Here is a 20,031-nt window from a genome sequence, read left to right as displayed (position 1 = left end):
GCTTTCAATATAATTTCATAAAAGAATGTGTATTTTATGTTAAAAAATGAGCTTGGGCATAAAAGTAGTTCTTTCCGAGAAACAGCAGTTGGCAATCCTTCCCAGTGAGTATGCAGACACCACCACTGTCTTCATTTCCCATATCTTGCCATAGACCAGTAAAAACTCTGCAGGCTGGCACTGGTCAGGATTCTTGAGTCTGGGACTGCTTCCTGAGCCCATATTCCTCTCTGCAAACCTGGAGTCATTTTCAATCTTGGTTCAAATGCCCCCGCACCCACCCTGCCCTGTGCCCCAGCCACTCTCTCATACTGTCAGGACAGTGACCAGCATGGCTTCACTGCCCATCCTATATTCCCCCCATCACAGGTGAGCACCTCCAGCCCTTCTCCCAGACCAAGTGAGCACTGACTTCCCAGGGAGACTCTGAATTACCCCCTACTAAGAAGACTCTGAATTTTACCCACCAGAACACTCCTCAATTACACCCCACTAGGGAGACTGATTTTCACGCCCCCGCCGGGAAGACTCCTGAACTGCACCTCACCAGGAAATATTTACCTGGTTGTGCACGTTTCTCTACACTGCCAGCGTGGTGTATATTTCTCTCCCCTAAACTACAGCATTCATTCTCCGTGGACCTGGCTTATTGCAAGGAATAGTGCCTGGCACATAGTTTTCAATAAAGATGTTAATGCGTGAATAAATTAAATAATGAATGAATAAAACTCATTCTAAAGTAAGCCTAAGAAAATGTACCCTCCCCCCAACCAGCCCCGGCAAAATGAAACTTGAATGACTGCCAACTTGCAGTCACATAGCAGGTGGGTGTCAGAGCTGATGGGAACCCAGGTCACCAGATTCTCAGATCAGGGCTTTTGCCATAAAGGAGGCTGCCATCTGTCATCCCCCAATAAGAAAGGGACATCTCCAACAGATCAACTCAGAGCCAGCATCACACATACCCTCAAGGCCATCACTCCTGATCATCAAAGCTATCATTTCTTTGGTAATTCCTATGTCCAGGTCCCAGCACTAGCACCTGTAGGTATTATCTCATTTAATCCTTAACACTACTAAGAAAGATATTATACTAGCCCACTTTTTAATAGATTTTTATTTTGAAACACTTCAAGACACAGAAAATTGGCAAAAATAGTACAATTTTTGTATATCCTTCACCCAGATTCCCCAAATGTCTTTATCTCATTTGCTTTCTTTACCCTTCCTTCCCTCTCTCTCTTTTGCTCTTTTGCTCTCCCTCTCTACCTACAGACATGCACACAAATATATCCCCACATACACATTGTTTTCTGAACTGTTTTAGAGTAAGGCAAAGCCACGATGCCCCTGTACCTCTTCACTGTGTATTCCCTAAAAATCAGAACATTAACACTGACATAAAACATATTATCTAATCCACAGACCTTCAAATTTCACCAAGCGTCCTATAAAGCCCTTGAGAGCTAAAGAAAAGAACACAAACTCGCGTGGTCCGGGATCCGATCCAGCATTACGCGAACATCCAGTTTTTGTATCTCTTTAGTTTCCTTTAATGTGGAACAGTTCTTCCATGACCTTGACATTTTTCTTGGAGTACAGGCCAATTATTTTGTAGACATCACTCAGTTTAGGTTTGTCAAATGTTTCCTCATAATTAGGTTCAGGTTGTACATTTTGGGCAGGAATATCACAGAAACGATGTCAGGTCCTTCATTCTTCAAACCAGAGCCACAGCTGTGTGTTTGTCCCGATTTCACGATGTTACTTTTGATCACTTGATTCAGGTAGTGTCTGCTATATTTCTTCAATGTAAAATTGTAATTCCCCCTTTGAAATTAGTAAGAACTTTGTGGGGAGATATGTCAGGACTATGTAAATTCCTTCTACATTTTCAATCTACTATAAGAAACACTATTCCTTCTTTTTCACTTATTTATATTAATTTTGACGCTCAATTATTACAGCTCTGACCAGTAGTTGCCTGGCTCTGTGTCTTTTACCACATCTCCATGAGTGTGTCAGCTCTCCCTTACTTTCTGGTCAAAATTTTTCCAGGCTCATTTGTACTGTCTCTGCCCTAACCCTAGAATTAACCATATCACCCTGCTACCTTTTAGTGGAGAAGTTATTTAAGAAAAAAATCAGGGTGGTAGGTTTACTACTGAGACATCATTGCCTCTAGGCTATCTTAGCAGACTGCTACATTAATACATGCATTTATATTTCTAGAACTCTCTCTGTGTGTATATATGTGTTCATACTGATACCTCAAATTCCAACCCAACACCACAGGACTAATTCTAGCCTTCTATACCTTTCCATATGTGTAACTCCCTTCACTGATTGAGAGGAAAAAATGGCTCCCATTACTTATAATACATTTACATATTTCTTCAATCTTGAATATAAATCATTTCAGAACTGCTAATCCACATCACTTGAAAAAACAAACCCTACTACAGTAGCCATATATTTTTCTTTTACAGTTGTTTCCTCTTATTAGACTGGTGGTACATGGCCAAAATACAGAGCCCAAAAGTTACTTGGGGAGCTGCCCCCAACTTTCAGCATGGCTTTTTATCCATTTGAAATACGGCTGCTTTCGTTTGTTTCTGTTTTTATTCCACATTAGGCTTCGTCTCTAGCCCATGATGTTTTTAGTTTGAAATATTGACAAGATTATTAATGTCAAAAGCATATAAACAGATATACTCAGAGAAATCTAACTTTCTGTCTCCTGTCTCCTTCCCATCCTCCCATCCTTTCAACCCTGGTCCCAACAACCCCATCAGTAATCAATCTCATTAGATTCTAACTCACCTTTCCTATATTTCTTTTTTACTAAACTACACAGATCTGTGTATGTTTTCTTATTTTACTTTTTTACTTTTTTTAATTTTTAATTTTTGTGGGTACATAGTAGGTATATATGCATGGGGTACAAAGACATTTTGATACAGGCATGCAATGTGTAAAAATCACATCAGGATAAATGGTGTGTCCATCACCTCAAGCATTTATCCTTTGTTACAAACAATCCAATTATACTCTTTTAGTTAATTCTAAATTACAATTAAATTATTATTGACTATAGACACCCTATTGTGTTAGCAAATACTAGGTCTCATTCATTCTTTCCAACTATTTTTTTATAGCCATTAACCATCCCCACTGCCCCTACTACCCTTCCCAGTTTCTGGTAACCATCCTCCTTCTATCTCCATGCGTTCAATTGTTTAATTTTGAGTTCCCATGAATAAGCAAGAACATGAAAAGTTTGTCTTTCCGTGCCGGGCTTATTTCACTTAACACAATGGCCTCCAGTTCCATCCATGTTGTTGCAAATGACAGGATCTCACTCTTCTTATGGCTGAATAGTGCGCCATTGTGTAGATGTACCATGTTTTCTTTATTCATTCATCTGTTGGTGGACACTTAGGTTGCTTCCAAATCTTGGCTACTGCAGATAAAGTTATTTTACTTTCTTTAATATGAAACAGTGGCATAATAAAGATGTCCTTTTAACAGCTCTGTTTAGGTACAATTTTCATATCATAAATTTACTCACTATAGGTGTACAGTCTGATGAGATTTAAGAAAGCATAGAGTGTGCAACTCTCACCAGCATTACACCAAGAACTGTCCTCATGCTCACCTGCCTTCAGTCCCTACTCCCACCCACAGATGCTCTTCCGCTCTTTGCCTTTGTCATGTACTAGTGTATCCTGGGATACACCCCATGCCAGTTCATAGAAACCATCCTCTTTCTTTTTCACAGTTGCATAGTATCCACTGTGCCATGTACTATGCATTATGCACCAGCACTTATTCAACCACCCCACTGTGTTTGGACATTCAGGTTGTTCCCAATATTTTGGAATTGCAAGTAATGCTGCAGTGGATAACCTTGTGGGTGGGGATGTTCATACTTTTGAGGTATATCTTCAAGGGTGAATTCCCAGAAGTGGGATTTCTGGGTCAAAATGTAAATGTATAAGCAGTTATGATAGATATTGCTGATATGGTTTGAATATCTGTCCCCTCCAAATCTCATGTTGAAATATGGTCCCCAAGTTGCAGTTGGGGCCTGATGGGAGTTATTGGGGTCATTGGGGGGGATCCCTCAAAAAAGGCTTGGTCTCTCCCTTCAGTAACGAAGTCACAGAAGAGCTGGCTGTTAAAAGGTACATGACACCTCCTCCTCTTTCTCTTGCTCCCTCTCTCACCATCGGACACTCCAGGTCCCCTTCCCTTCCACCATGATTAAAAGTTTCCTGAGGTCTTACCAGAAGCAGATGCTGACACCATGCTTCCTGTACAGCCTGCAGAACTGTGAGCCAAAACAAACCTCTTTTCTTTATAAATTACCCAGCCTTAGGTATTCCTTTATAGCAATGCAAAACAGACGAGTACAATCGCCACACTTCCCTTGAAAAGGGCTAAGCCCATTTGCAGTCCCCCAGCAATGTGTGGGATTGCTTGTCTCTTCACAGCCTTGCTTTTTCATGTTTGCCAATCTGACAGATTAAAAATGACAGCTCAAAGCCATTTTCATTTCTCTAATTATGAGTGATGTTGAACATCTTTTCGTTTGTTTAAAGGACATTTGTATATCCTTGATGTGAATTATCTTTCATGTCTTGTGCCCATTTTTTCTATCAAGTACCCCTTCCTCAATGATAACAGCTCTTTACATATCAGGGATATTAACCCTTTACTTCTGATATATGCTGCAAATACCTTCTCCTACAAAGTCATTTGCATTTTGACTGTGCTTATCATGGACTTTTGTAATCAAACTTGTCAATCTTTTCTTTAACTACATCTGGATTTTGAGTCATTGTTAGAAAACCTTTTCTTACATCCATGTTACAGAAAAGCTCACCCATGTTTTCTTCTAGTGTTTTTTTTTTTTTTTTTCTGAGATGGGGTGTTCACTCTGTCACCCAGGCCGGAGTACAGTGGCACGATCACGGTTCACTGCAGCCTCGACCTCCCCAGGCTCAGGTGATCCTCCCACCTTAGTTTTTGTATTTTTAGTAGAGACAGGGTTTTGCCATGTTGCCCAGGCTAGTCTCGAACTCCTGGGCTCAAGCAATCCACCTGCCTTGGCCCCCCAAAGTGCAAGGATTACAGGCATGAGCCACTGTGCCCAGCCACTTCTAGTACTTTTATGATTTCACCTTTTATATTTAGATCTCAATCCATTTGGAGTTTTTCTTGTGTATACTGGAACTTATGCATTAATTTTATCTTCTTCCAAAGGCTGCCTGGTCATCCCGGAACAATGTATTGAAAAGGTAATCTCTGCTCCAGTGATTTGAGATACCACCTTTGTCATATACTAAATTTCCATATGAACTTGGGGTCTATTTCAAGACTTTCTATTCAATTCTACTGCTATTTTGAATATTCATGCATCAATTTCACCATACTGTTTTAATTATAGAGGCTTTATAGTTCATTTTAATGTTTGGTAGAGCTATTCCTCCCAGTAGTTCTTAATTTGCAGGGTTATCGTGGTTACTGCATGTTTGTCTTTTCATATGAACTTAAGTATCAGTTGTGTAGCTCCATAAAAAAACTTACTGATACTTTCTCTGGGATTATGTTAAATTCATAAATTAACTTGGGACAAACTTTTTTATGATGTTAAATCAATCCATCCAAAATCAAGGGATGTCTTTCTATTTGTTCAAGACTACTTTCACATCTTTCAGAAGAGCTTAAAAATGTTTCTTATCAAGGCTTTGCCCATATCTTTCTAAGTTTATTCCTAAGTATCTTCTTTGTTGCTATTGCGTCCTCAAACTGGTTATTTATGTGGTTCTTATTTATGTACAAGAAAGTTAATAAGTTCTATATGTTAAATTTTTCCTGCTACCATAATGATTTTATTGTTTAATTTACTTTTATCATTGATTCTCTAGGGTTATCCCAGTATACTATCATATCATGTGCAAACTGAGATAGTTCTGGTTCTTCTTTTCTAATATTCATGCCAGTAACTGATTTATCTTACCTAATTGCTAATACCTCCAGTACAATTGTGGGATAGTAGCAGAGATAATGAATATCCTTGCCTTGATCCTGGTCTTTAAGTGGAAATGCCTCTAGTGTTTTCCCATCAACAAGCATCCTGACTTTAGGATTCAAATATTTTTTCAGGTTAAAAAAGCATCTATTTATTCCTATTTTCTTCAATGATATATCAGGAATGCATATTGAATTTTTTCAAAGGGTTTTCAGTATTTATGGAGATAATCATTATGTTTTTCCTTAGATACCTTAATATAGTACACTAATAGATTTCCTCATGTTGAACCAACCTTGCATTCCTGGGAAAAAGACACCATTTGGTCATGGTGCATTGATTTCTTATTGCGGTATTGGTTAGTTTACGAATAATTTGTTTAGCACTTTTACTTCAATATTTATAAGTTTATAAGTGATATTGTTCTGTAATTTCATTTTGGTACTTGCCTTTTCAGATTCAGGTGTCAATGTAGTACTTACTTTCAAGAAAGACTTAGAAAACATTCATTTATTTTCGATTCTCTAAACAATTAATAAAGAATGAAGAATATCTGGTCTTTGAAAGTTTGGACCAGGTGTGGTGGCTCACATCTGTAATACCAGCACTTTGGGAAGCCAAGACAGATGGACCGTTTGAGCCCCGGTGCTCAAGACCAGCCTGGGCAACATGGTGAATCCGTCTCTATAAAAAATATAAAAATTAGCCAACTGTGGTGGCACACACCTGTATTCCCAACTACTTGAGAGGCTGAGGTGGGAGGATGGCTTGAGCCTGGGAGATGGAGGCTGCAGTGAGCCGTTATTACACCCCTGCACTTCAGGATGATAGAGGGGGGCCCGGTCTCAAAAAAAAAAAAAAAAAAAAAAAAGTCTAGTGACATTTGGGGTAGTTCCTTCAGGATTTTTTCTAGATCTTTTATGGAAATTGGTTTATTTAAGCTTTAAGCTTCCTATACCAAATTGATACTGTTTTCATATTTTTAATAGAGGTCTACAAAATAATCTCATAATTTTTTTTTTTTGAGATGTAGTTTCGCTCTTGTCACCCAGGCCGGAGTGCAATGGTGTGATCTCAGCTCACTGCCTCCCGAGTTCAAGCAATTCTCCTGCCTCAGCCTCCCAAGTAGCTGGGATTACAGGAACGTGACACCATGCTCAGCTAATTTTTGTATTTTTAGTAGAGACACGGTTTTACCACGTTGGCCACGCTGATCTCGAACTCCTGACCTCAGGTGATCCACCCGCCTCAGCCTCCCAAAGTGCTGGGATTACAGATGTGAGCCACCGCACCCGGCCTAATCTCATAATTTTTAAAAATGTCTTCTATGTCAATGGTTATGTCTCTTTTGTCATTTATTTCATATATTTGTGCTTTCTCTCCATTTTTTATGCTAGCAAGGGTTTCATTCATTTGTTAATGTTTTAAAAACCCATATTTAGGGATTGCTAATCAGGTCTACTGTTCTTTCATTCTCTATCTTACTATTTTCTGCTTTTATCCTTACTATTATGTTTCTTGTGCTTTCTTTTGGTTTACCTTGTGTTTCTTTACCTAGCTTTTGGGGTAAGAACTTAGTTCACTTATTTGCATTTTTGTGTTTTTATTAATAAAAGCATTTAGGGATATGAATTTCCTTCCAATCACTGCTTTAAATATATCTCATACATTCTGGTAGGTAGTGTTTTCATTATGATTATTTTTTAATTTTTAATTTGCTTTCCCCATTTCATCCAAGAGTTAATAGGTTGTTTTTCATTTCCAGATGATAGGGTATTTTCATCTTTTTGTTAATAATGTCCAGTTTTAGTGCACCGTGGTTAGAAAGTATTGTTTATAATATTTCTACCTTATAGAACTTACTGAAATTTTCTTTGTGAGCTAATATATAACTGTTTGTAAATGCTCCATGTATACCTGAGAAGAAAGTATATTCTATATTATTGTGGCATAAATGTATACATAAAGATATCTATATCTCCATAATACCTATCTTCTTGATTCCATTGTTATTTTTTTCCACTTCATCTGCCTTGTGCTGAATGTGGTATGTTAAATTTTCCCATTATTAGTGGTTTTCTCTGCATTTCCTGGTTTCTTTTGCAGTATCTGCTTTATAAAGGTGGTTCCTGTGTTATTTCATGCATAGATATTCGTGACTGATATATAACTCTTTTGAATTGTTATTAGCAGCCATTTTTCTGAGTGTAGTCATTGAGCACCTGCTGTGGGCAAGGCAGAACCCATATCATCATTTGTCCTTTCATGTATTTGGAAGCAATGACCACAGAGGGGCACAGAGATGCTTCGCCTTGGTCATGAAGACACCCTGGGATGTTGGTACTGGTGTTCCTCACTTAGGGCACCAATTGTGCCAATAAGTATACATGAATCCTGGGCTGTTCCCTGGTTCACACAGCCAGCATCCTGGACAGCTCCTCCACGGCCACTGCCAAGCAACCTGCTGTGGCTGAGAATGGATGCTTCCAATCCAATCGTGTTTTGAAAAGATTAACAGAACAGAAAACCAAGGAAATCCCTGAGGTTGTGGCTTCTTGGTACCATGTTGTGTTCAGCTGAATTATGGCAGACTTTTTATAAAGGAGGCTGAGGAGGGCTTCATTCTCCAGAACAGCTACAGGGAGCTCTCTGCAGCTTGGCTACTCCGCAAGTGCCCTTCTCCCTCTAGCTCTTTACGGAACCCCCACCCTACCCATTCAGGGTGAGAGTTCCTTCTGCAGGAACAAGGCAGAGAGGCATCCTCTCTGGGCATAGAAAGCATTTTGGAACCAAAGCCCTCAGCCCTTGGCTAAGAGTCAAGGCAGGATGTAAATGCAAAGAGAATCAGTTAGACTTCATTGATTAGTGAACCTGGGGTTAATCAGCGGGCTGGGGGAGGGGTGTGGCTTAGTTCAACACCATTAACACATGCTCCCTTCCTGCCCCAACACAGAGCCGAAGATGTCAGGTAGAATTTGCCAGCCTAATTACAAATGCTGAGCCTTCATTTGGTAGGCAATTAATAGTCACTAGAAATATAAATCAGGGCAGAGACAAACGGGGGATAACTGTTGACAAACCCTTTAAAAGAGCATTTTAAAAATAGTGGCAGAGATAGAGCATGGTGGGGAGAAATAGTGAGGGATATTTCCTATGGCCCTACACTCTGCACCAGTTCTGGCAGCCCTGAGCACAGAGAGAGGAACAAAAGCTATACAGAAAAGAGAACGGACCTCCTTGTTCTTTTAAGTGTTCAAGCCTTTTCCTCAGGAGGGACTTCTCAGGAAGAGAGGCAGGTCAATGTGTGGGAGGGGCTTTGGCATGTGAGCGGGACTTTGATGTATTGAATGAGGCCTCAGTGCTTGGGAAGTGGCTCAGTGTGTAGGAGGAGCCTCCACGCGTGGGGAGGGGGTTCAGTGTGTGGGAGGAGCCTCCGTGTGTGGAGAGGAGCCTCTGTGTCGGAAGAGCCTCCGCCTGAGGGAGGGGGCTCAGTGTATGGGGAGGAGGCGCAGTGTGTGGGGAGGAGCCTCAATGTGTGGGAGGAGCCTCTGTGTGTGGCAAGGGGCTCAGTGTGTGGGAAGAGCCTCTGTGTGTAGGGAGGAGCCTTGGCGTGTGGGCAGGGCTTTGACATGTTAGAGGCCTCAGTATGTGGGAGGGTAATCAATGTGTGGGACTGTGTGTGGGGAGGGGTACTGGTATATGGGCAGGGTTTTGATGTGTTGAAGGAGGCCTCAATGTGTGGGAGGGGCTTCAGTGTGTGGGAGGAGTCTCAGTGTATGGGAGGGGCCTCGGTATGGGGAGAGTTTTGATGCACTGGAGGTCTCAGTATGTGGGAGGGGTCTCAATATGGGAGGGACTTGTGTGTGGGAGAGGCCTCAGTGTGTGGGAGGGGCTTCAGTGTGTGTGGGGGGGCCTCAGGGTGTGGGAGGGGCCTCTGTGTGAGTGGGACTTGTGTGTGTGAGAAGGGCCTCAGTGTGTGGGAGAGTCCTCTGTGTTGGGGGAGAGGCATTGGTATGTGGACAGGGCTTTGATGTGCTGAAGGAAGCCTCAGTGTGTGGGAGATACCTCAATGTGTGGGAGAGGCTTCAGCATGTGGGAGGAGCCTGCGTGTTGGGAAGGGGACTTAGTGTGTGGGAGGGGACTCGGTGTGTGGGTGGTGCCTCACTGTGTGGGGAGGAGCCTTGGCATGGGGGAGGAGATTTGATGTGTTACAGGGGCCTCAGTATGTGGGAAGAGCCTCGGTGTGTGGGAGGAGCCTCCATGGGTGGGAGGGGCCTCAGTGTGTGGGAGGGGCCTCTGTGGGAAGGAGCCTTGGTGGGTAGGAGGGGCCTTGTGAGGGGAGGGGGCATGGTCTATTGCCCAGCCAGCCCCAGGCACCCCGTTATGCAGATGCTCAGCAATGTGGTTTCCTCCTCCTCTTCCTGGGCACATTTTTAAACTGTATTTTCCAGCCTCTCCGCAATCTAGTGGGGCCTTGTGACTCACTTCTGCCCAGTGGGAAGTGGCATAAATGATGCATGCCACTTCCAGGCCTGGTCCACAACAATCTCTCCTGTGGACACTGGTCACAGGGCCTGCCCAAGATGGCACAGCCAGGGGTGGCCTGACCATTGCTACAATTCACATTGTCATTGCTTTACTATACTGCCTCCCAATTCATCTATTCTTGCAAAAATGTCTTGATTAAATATGCTATGGAAGGATCCAGAGTAGAAACCCGTGAGTGCTCCTATGCCCTCAGCATCTGTCTATCCCAATGGCTAACCCAGGGCAACCAGGAAAAAGTGCGAACGAGCTGTAGAATCAGAAGCAGTTGGAGCTGGAGCGAGTGTCTAGACTCAAAGAGCAGCTGGAGTTTAGCATGTGTAGGCCCCTGACTCCGAGGCCTAAGGATACCCTATGGGCTCAGTACAGAACTCTTCCAGAACATAAAGGCATTGTTCCCTTGGAAAAGGTCCCTCCCTCTGTACAGACACCAAAGTGGAAGGAGTTAGCAGCCTACATCTCCCTCAAGCACCCCAGTCACCCAGGGCTTCTGGTTACCACAGAGCTCAGAATGCCTTGAGTGTGGGTTCTTCTTCCCTTCAGTTTCACCTTCACGCTGCTCCTCCTGCTCGGACAGAAAGATCCAGCTGCAGTGACAAGTGCATCTCACTTTAAGAGAGTCCTTGTTGCAAAACTCTGATCTGACAAAATGCAGCAGGGGCAGCTCATCACATTGCAAAAGGATTACATTGTTTTAACATGAATCAAGAGGTATCTATCCCCGCTATACCCCAATTACCGAAGAGGAGGAATCTGAGGTCAGAATAGCCCAAGTGAGGTGCATACCTCCAAGGTCAGGTGGTGGGAGCTGCAGCAGCTCCAGGCTGCCCTCCCTGGGGGGAGCTGCTTTGCTGACCCACTTCAGAGTTTGCTTAGAGATGATCTGGGGAAATGTGAGGGACCACCGACAAGATCAATGACCATGAAAATAGCTTATTTGTGAAGTCACAGTGTAAATCGGCAGGAAAGAGCCTTTCTGAAACCCACATGGCTTCAGGCAAAGCCTGTCAGTCCAGGACCTGCAAATACCTGGGGGCTGAAAGGACAAGGGCACCTGCTCTGCTCAGCTGAGGACTGCCCAGAGGGGAGGGGAGAAGCCTCGGCCAGGGACAGGGCTTTGCACTAAGGCAGTGTTTGATGGACTAACGGTTTGATCCCAGGGGATACCCCGCTTCAAGCGGCTGGGGTGGCTGCAGGATTTGGACCTGGGGTTTAACAGTGCAGTTGCCTGCTCCTCCCCAGCCTGCAGCCCCCCACGCAATTCCTGCACTATTTGGAAAGGCTGGGATTCCGCACTTTAATTCTGCTTATGGCTTAATACAACACATAGAGCATTTGGCGGGGTGCCTTTCTGCTGAAGGTATGAATGTTTTAATGGAATTGTGTTATCATGCGAGCGTGTGGCCAACTGTTCAAACAAGATACTCTGGCTTTCTTGAAGAGTTAAGCAGGTTATAGCAGAACAGAAAACAGAAGAATAGTAATTCCAATATCAGACATTTGTGGATGGAAAAATATCTTTATTATGTTATTGACATGCATCTGTCTCCATCACATATTCTATGGCATTAAAACTGCCAGCCGCACCGTGGCCAGATGTCAACGACCCTGTCTATTGTCCTTCCCAGAGTGTCCACTGGGACAAGAGGCAACACCTGGACACCTGAAAAGTGCCAACATCCAAGTGTGTGCTTGGGCACATGGGCCAGAGTGCCTGACCCTCCCACTCCTGTACTTTCCTGTCCTACACACCTGCAGACACGCACATACACACACACACACGCACACACACACCAGGATGTACCAAGATAACTTATGACATTTTTTTTCTATGTTTCTAATTTTCTAAATTAGTTTCAAACATAGTTTATAAAAGAACTGCTCCCTAATCCTGGGGAAAGGCATGATGGGACATCCGGATGTCAGGCCAATCTCTTCTGCCTTAGACACACAGCAGGGAAAAACCATCCCAGACCCACAAGCTGCCTGCCTGACGAGGACAGACAGGGCACCTCTGCCTCGCCTGGGCCGTGGGGCACCAATGATGCCCAGCTTCTCCTGCCTCCCTAGAAGCAGCTCTAACTCCTCCCAATTCCCAGGCCCCCCAGGGCCACCTGCCTCCTGCTCGTCCACGGCCTCTCGTGACTGGAGGAAGCTGAGCTCTGCAGAACTGGGTCTCAGGTTCTTTATGCAGTCGCCCTAAATGCGGCTCTCGTGGCGCCCCCTCAGAAGTGGTCCCCCCAGCCTCTGCTCCTGGTCTGTGACGAGGCAATGTGCTCTCAGCTCCCGAATCGTGGCTTCACCCCTTCTGGAATCTTCCAGTCATGCCAGAGCTGTTTCGGTTACCTCTTCTCTCATCCAAGGCACTTGCAAACAGTGACTTTTTGAAAAAGGGCCTTGTGTATTTTTATGTTCCCAAGATTTATAGAAATAATTAAGAAATTTGATTACAATTCCATTGTGGCTGTTTACTTGGAGAACAAACCTTTTTTCGTGAACGCTTCCTCACTCTGACTAATGCACTTGAGTTTCTTTTTATTTTTAAAGCATAAATTTTCCTTGTTGATAGTGACTATGTATAGCGGTTGCAGCTGGGGCTGTTTGTACTAAGTTTCTAATCTAATAAGTTCTGCAGAAGAATAATACAACCATTTTCCCGGCCTGACAGAGCTGCTCCTTCAGGGGATATAAGGCCCAGAGAGCTTGCTTTGCACTGCTCCCTGATCAGCTGTTTTTCCTCAGGGAGAGGGAGGTGGGAGGTGAGGAGTGGAGGGGCTCTCGTGTGGACTGATTAGAGGGCTTGACAGTCACAATGACAAGGAAAGGTACCCAGGTATCTTGAAGGGTAGGGGTGGGGGAACCTTGGTGTCAAAGGTAACCCATGGTAAAGGCTGGGCCCCTCTGAGTTCCACTAGGTTTTGTTGGTACCTGCTGGGTCCTGTTGAGTCCCTGTGGGTCCCCTGGGTTCCACTGGGCCTTTTTGGGTTCTGCTAAGTTCTGCTGGGGTCCAGTCCACTGAGCCATGTTGAGTTTTTGTAGGAAGGAAAGTCAACTGTCACCTTCCTCCTTGCACCTCCCAACCCCCAGTCAAGCCAGGGACCATGTAAAGAAGGCTAGAAAGAAATAATTAAAAAAAAAAATTAAGCTCTGGGCTGGGCACGGTGGCTCACGCCTGTAATCTCAGCACTTTGGGAGGCTGAGGTGGGTGGATCACCTGAGGTCAGGAATTAAGAGACCAGCCTGGCCAACATGGAAAAACCCCATCTCTACTAAAAATACAAAATTAGCCTGGTGTGGTGGCACGTGCCTGTAATCCCAGCTACTTGAGATGCTGAGGTAGGAGAATCGCTTGAACCCTGGAGGCAGAGGTTGCAGTGAGCCAAGATCACACTGTTATACTCCAGCCTGGATGACTAGAGTGAAAATCAGTCTTAAAAAAAAAAATTAAACTGTGTGTTCCCACAGTTCCACAAAAATTTAAGAAGGGAGCCAGCGTTCGTGGAGCCTCAGTCACGGCCAGGCCCTGCACCCCGCTCTGCCTTCTGTTCATTTCAGCTCACAACTCCGCCTCAGGGGGATTATCGTGCCCAGTTTAGGATGATGTGCCTGAGGCCAGAGAACTGGGAAGCTGTAAAGCTGGGATGCAAACATAGACATAGTGACCCTCAAGAGGACAGAGGGCAGCCAAAGGCTCTTTCTGTCTCTCCTGAGGAAGGCGCAGCTGAAGAGACAGGAGGGACGCAGCGTCTGGCTGCTCTTGCTTCGGAGCCTCACCCCTGCGCCTCCCGCACAGCCTGTCCCCAGCCACGCTCCAGCACGGGATGGATGGACACAGCCAGCCCATCCTCCCCGAGGCACCAGGAAGGGATCTAATTTTAGCTCCGAGAGTCTAAAATTGCTGGTGCAGAACATCATTAAACACTTGGCTGCTCCCAAACCTTGGGGATAGCAGACGGAGAGTCTGCAAAGACCCACCATGAGAGGAGATCGTGCATTTGCGTCACTGCCCCTCACGCCTCACCCTCCAGGGCCCCGGGGATGCCAGCCATCACGGGCATGGTCCTAGCAAGCAAATGTCCTTCTTTCTGCTGAGTCCAGTGTCCTCCTGTCTCCCCAGGGAAAGCCTGGCAAGAATGAAAACATCAGGCTGGCTGAGAGGCTCAGCTGCCCAGTGAGACCGTTGTTTAAAGATCACAGAGCATCCCCAGGCTGGGCATCCCTCATCAGATGTGTGTGCAGAAATTCAGGCTCTCTGTGCTCATTAAGTCGCTCCATGCCCTGCCCCCTTTGGTGACCACCATGATCATTCCAAGGCCTGTCATGCTGTTGTTCATGCTCCGCATACCTTCACCTCCCTAGAAGCTCTCCTGGATTAAGAAGTCATTGGGGACCAGGCACAGTGGCTCATGCCTGTAATCCCGGCACTTTGGGAGGCCGAGGTGGGCAGATCACTTGAGCTCAGGAGTCCAAGAGCAGTCTGGCCAACACGGTGAAACCCTGTCTCTACTAAAAATACAAAAATTAGCTGGGCGTGGTGGCAGGCACCTGTAATCCCAGCTACTCAGGAGGCTGAGGCAGGAGAATCGCTTGAGCCCAGGAGGCAGAGGTTGCGGTGAGGCAAGATAGCGCCACTGCACTCCAGCCTGGGCAACAGCGAGACTCCATCTCAAAAAAAAAAAGAGAAGTCACAGGACAAGATCTCCACCTCCACTTGATTCAACCTGAACCTGTCCCGTGACAATGAAAAGCAAAATGCTGAATGATGGGGCTGAGTGAGAGAAAAGGAAAAATGGAACAGGGATGGGAAACTACCCAAATATTAATCAGCAGATGAATGGATAAACAAAATGTGGTCCAGTACAATAGACAATTATTCCACCACGAAGAGGAACTAAGCACTGACATGTGCGACAACACAGACAAACCTCAGAAACTGCATGAGGAGTGAAGGAAGCCAGTCAACAAGGTCACATATTATATGATTCCATTTCTATGAAACATCCAGAACAGGCAAATCCATGGAGACAGAAGGCAGCTGAGTGCCTGCCAGGAGCTGTAGGAGGGGGACCAGGGAGGGACTGCCTGAGCCGTGGGTACAGGCTTTCACTTTGGGAAGATGAAAGCACATTGGAATTAGGTAGCAGTGACTGCGCAACATCGTGGACGTGCTAAATGCCACTGAATTGTATACTTTAAAATGGGTAATTTTATGTTATGTGAATTTCATCTCAGTTTTTTAAAATTTAAGGGATGGATTTGATTGGGGGCAGGGGAGAATAATTCATAGAAAAGAGTCCCTTAAGAGCAGAAACTATTTCAGTCCAATAAATACTTGTTGACCACTTGGTCTGTGTTGGCCCTGAGATACTGGGGGAGGCAGAAGTGGAAACAAATAATCGTAATAGGAGGTAACATTTGAGCAGGGCTGGAAAGAGAAAGAGTTCACCAGGTGAACAAGGGGCAGGGAAAAGGGAGAGGTTAAAGGCATTCTGTGCAGGGGAACAGCTTGAGCAAAGCCAGAGTCCTAAATGTGTGCAGCCATGTCTCCAAACCAAGGCAATTGCACATACTCTGAACAGCTCACTGCTGATGGAAATGATAGATGTGGGTCCAACCTTTCTTGAACTGGCCACTGGACAAATGGAACAAGGAACAAGCTGCATTTTCCTCACGTTCCAGGAGAACAGGTTGAAAACATTTTTCAAAAGTGAAGTAGTCAATAAAGGAAAGCTCTGAAGGGAAGACCAGGAGAAACTGAACAAATCCACCATTAAAAGGGGAGATTTTTAGGGCACTTTTCTCAGTATAGGTCAAACTGAAACTAAAATCAGGAAAAATAAGGAAAATTTGAATAACATGATTAACAAACTTGATTCGACAAACACTTAGAACATGGCACCCACAAAATGGAAAACATTCCATGTTCCATATTTGCTGGAACCAATACTGGGTCTCAAAAAATTTCAAAACCGCTAGCATCATATTGTCCAAATAACAATGAAGTGAACTACAGACCAAAACTTAAATTAGAAATCAGTTAACAAAAAGATCCCAGAAAAAACCCTATATGTTTGGAAATTAAGAAATATGTTTTAGACTTGGAACCAACCCAAATGATCATCAATGATAGACTGGATAAAGAAAATGTGGCACATATACACCATGGAATACTACGCAGCCATATAAAACAATGAGTTCATGTCCTTTCCAGGGACATGGATGAAGCTGGAAGCCATCATTCTCAGCAAATTAACACAGAAACAGAAAACCAAACACTGCATGTTCTCACTCAGAAGTGGGAGTTGAACAATGAGAACACATGGACACAGGGAGGGGACTACCACATACTGGGGCCTGTCGGGGTTGGAGGGCAAGGGGAGGGAGAGCATTAGGACAAATACCTAATGCATGCAGGGCTTAAAACCTAGATGATGGGTTGACGGGTGCAGCAAACCACCATGGAACATGTATACCTATGTAACAAATCTGCACATTCTGCACATGAATCCCAGAACTTAAAGTAAAATTAAAAAAAAAAAAAAAGAAACCCATTTTATACAATTCAAAACAGAAATCATAATGGAGGTTAAAAAACATTGCGAACTGAAGGATAATCAAACTACTACATGTTAAAACACATGGAACATACGCTAAAACATATTTAGAAAGGAATTGTTCATTTAAATGTTCATATAGAAAAGAGGGAAAGCTAAAATTAATGAACCAATGCTCCTGCTTAAGAAATTAGAAGAAGGAAAGTAGAATAAATTCAAAGAATAGAAAGTAGGAAAACAGCATAAAAACGGAATTCACAAAACAGGAAACAAATCTAAAATAGATACAAACAGCAAAGTCAAAAGTTGGTTCTTTGAAAAGAACAATACAGTTGACAAAATTCTGATTAAAAAGGATAATATTGGGAGTGAAAAGAACATAACCAGAGAAGCTTCAAATATTAAAAAATTATTGAGAGGATATATGACTATATCATGACAATAAGTTAGAAGCTTAGGCCAGGCACAGTGGCTCATGCCTGTAATTCCAACACTTTGAGAAGTTGAAGAGAGCAGATCACTTGAGCCCAGCTCAAGTCCAGTCAGGAGTTCGAGACCAGCCTGGCCAACATGGTGAAACCACTTCTCTACTGAAAATACAAAAATCAGCTGAGTGTGGTGGTGCATGCCTGTAGTCTCAGCTACTCAGGAGGCTGAGGCAGGAGACTCACTTGAACTTGGGAGGCAGAGATTGCAGTGAACTGAGATCTGAGATTGCACTACTGCACTCCAGCCTGGCATGAGCAAGACTCCATTCAACAAAAAAAAAGTCTAAATGAAATTGACAAATTATTAAAAAAACTTATCTAAACCATCTTAAGAAAATATAAAAACCTGAATATTCTTGTAAACACACAAAAAAGAAGCAGTAGATAAAAATTACCAGGTCCAGATGATGGTACCACTTAAATAGTTCTAATTAAATATTCAGGTAACAATCCAAATCATCATCTTACACAAATTATTCCACAGCATAATTATTCCATGGCCTCAAACTCATGTTTGACATTAAGTCTGACAAGAATATCATGAGAAAAGAAATATAGAAGCCATTATAAATCATGAACATAGACGCAAAACTCCTAAACAAAATCTTAGAAAACCAAATCCAGTAATGTCTAAAAATAATAAACCATGAACAAGTTGGGTTTATCCTAGGATTACAGTTAGATTAATATTAGAAAATAACTATAATTCATAATGTTAACAGATTATAGGAGAAAAAGTATATGATTATTCTTACTAGTGACATTAAAAGCATTCAATAATATTAAACATCCAGTTGTGATTTTAAAATTCTTAGCAAACTAAAATAGAAGAAACCTTCCTTGATCTAATAAAGAGTTTATACTATACCAACCAACAAATAAAACCCCTACAGCAAATATTACTATTAACCATGAAACACTAGAAGAATCTCCTTTAGAATCAGACATGAGGCAAGAGTTCCTGCTATTAATATTTCTACTCAACTAGAAGTTGTACTAGGACTTCTAGTTCTATTCTTGTTCTCTGTCCTAGAACTTCAAGTTTATTTCTTGTTCTTGCATTACTGTGCAGATCAGAACTTCCAGTACAATTGCTGGATGCAGTAGCTCACGCCTGTAATCCCAGCACTTTAGGAGGCCGAGGTGGGTGGATCACCTGAGGTCAGGAGTTCCAGGCCAGCCTGGCCAACATGGTGAAACTCTGTCTCTACTAAAAATACAAAAAGTTAGCTGGGTGTGGTGGTGCACGCCTGTAATCCCAGCTACTAGGGAGGGTGAGATGGGAGAACTGCTTGAACCTGGGAGGCAGAGGTTGCAGCGAGCCGAGATCGTGCCATTGCACTCCAGCCTGGGCAACAGAGCAAGACTCTGTCTCAAAAAACAAACAAACAAACAAACAAAAAGAACTTCTAATACAATAGAAGTCTAGTACAACAGAAGTTCTAATCTGCTCAGTAATGCAAGAATAAGAAATAAAATCTCTAAGGGTTGAGAATGAAGAAAGAACTCTCAATATTCATTGAGTGTGAATTATCTACATAGAATTCAAAGAATCTAGAGGCAAAGTATTAAAAGATTCCACCAAAGTGCCTAACATAAGGTCAACATACAAAAAATAAATTAATTTATATACAATAGCAACAAACAGAAAATATACTTTTTAAAATAACACATAATTGCAATTTAAAAGCTAAAGTTTATAAGAATAAATTATTAGTGTTTAACCTAAGATAGATCTTCTGTTCAAAGATAGAAAACTCAGCTGGGTACAGTGGCTCACACCTGTAATCCCAGGACTTTGGGAGGATTGTTTGAAGCCAGAAATTTGAGACCAGTCTGGGCAACATAGTGAGACCCTGTCTCTACCAAAAAGGTAAAAATTAGCTGGGTATGGTGGCACATGCCTGTAGTCCTAGCTACTCGGGAGGCTGAGGTGGGAGGATCACTTGAGGCTAGGAATTCGAGGCTGCAGTGAGCTATGATTACCCCACTGCATTCCAGACTGGGTGACAGAGCAAGACTCTGTCTCTAAAATTAATTAATTAATTAATTAACCAATTAATTTAAAAAAGAAGACTCAATATCCTAAATAGGTCAATTCTCACCAAACTGACAGATTTAATGTAATTCCAATCAAAATCTCCCCATAGGAATTTGAGGATTTTGACAAGATTATCTTCCGTAATGTTCATGAAACAGCAAAGGCCAAGAATAGGTGAAATGCAGAACATATATATAGTGGTAGGAGGGAGAGGAGAATGTGATCAACCACCTGTGAAGACTTATTTCCAAGCTACAGTGAACTACAGCAACTGAACTGATGGTGTGCTGAGACAAGAATAGACAAACTGACGACTACAGTGATGGCATAAGGGGCCCAGAAACAGATCTACGCACAGGCAGCTAC

General features: G+C 43.1%; 1 protein-coding gene across 25 annotated transcripts in view, besides 2 other annotated features; it reads right to left on the bottom strand.

The window, feature by feature from the left end:
* Nucleotides 1–20,031, bottom strand: part of CAMTA1 (calmodulin binding transcription activator 1) — a 984,253-nt gene that overhangs the window by 582,287 nt on the left and 381,935 nt on the right. The gene's annotated exons all lie outside the window — the stretch shown is intronic.
* Nucleotides 9,025–9,525: an enhancer, noted in NCBI's record as "NANOG-H3K4me1 hESC enhancer chr1:7237955-7238455 (GRCh37/hg19 assembly coordinates)". NCBI's record gives its function as "activates a minimal SCP1, AML or CMV promoter by ChIP-STARR-seq in naive H9 embryonic stem cells {active_cell/tissue: H9 hESC(naive)}" and the evidence as "EXISTENCE:reporter gene assay evidence [ECO:0000049][PMID:30033119]".
* Nucleotides 12,770–13,270: an enhancer, noted in NCBI's record as "H3K4me1 hESC enhancer chr1:7234210-7234710 (GRCh37/hg19 assembly coordinates)". NCBI's record gives its function as "activates a minimal SCP1, AML or CMV promoter by ChIP-STARR-seq in primed H9 embryonic stem cells {active_cell/tissue: H9 hESC(primed)}" and the evidence as "EXISTENCE:reporter gene assay evidence [ECO:0000049][PMID:30033119]".

This window comes from Homo sapiens, chromosome 1 (genome assembly GCF_000001405.40).
Source record: "Homo sapiens chromosome 1, GRCh38.p14 Primary Assembly".
Lineage (NCBI taxonomy): Eukaryota > Metazoa > Chordata > Mammalia > Primates > Hominidae > Homo > Homo sapiens.
The sequence above is the reverse complement of the archived record's forward strand: the minus strand, read 5'-3'. Positions and strand labels throughout refer to the sequence as shown.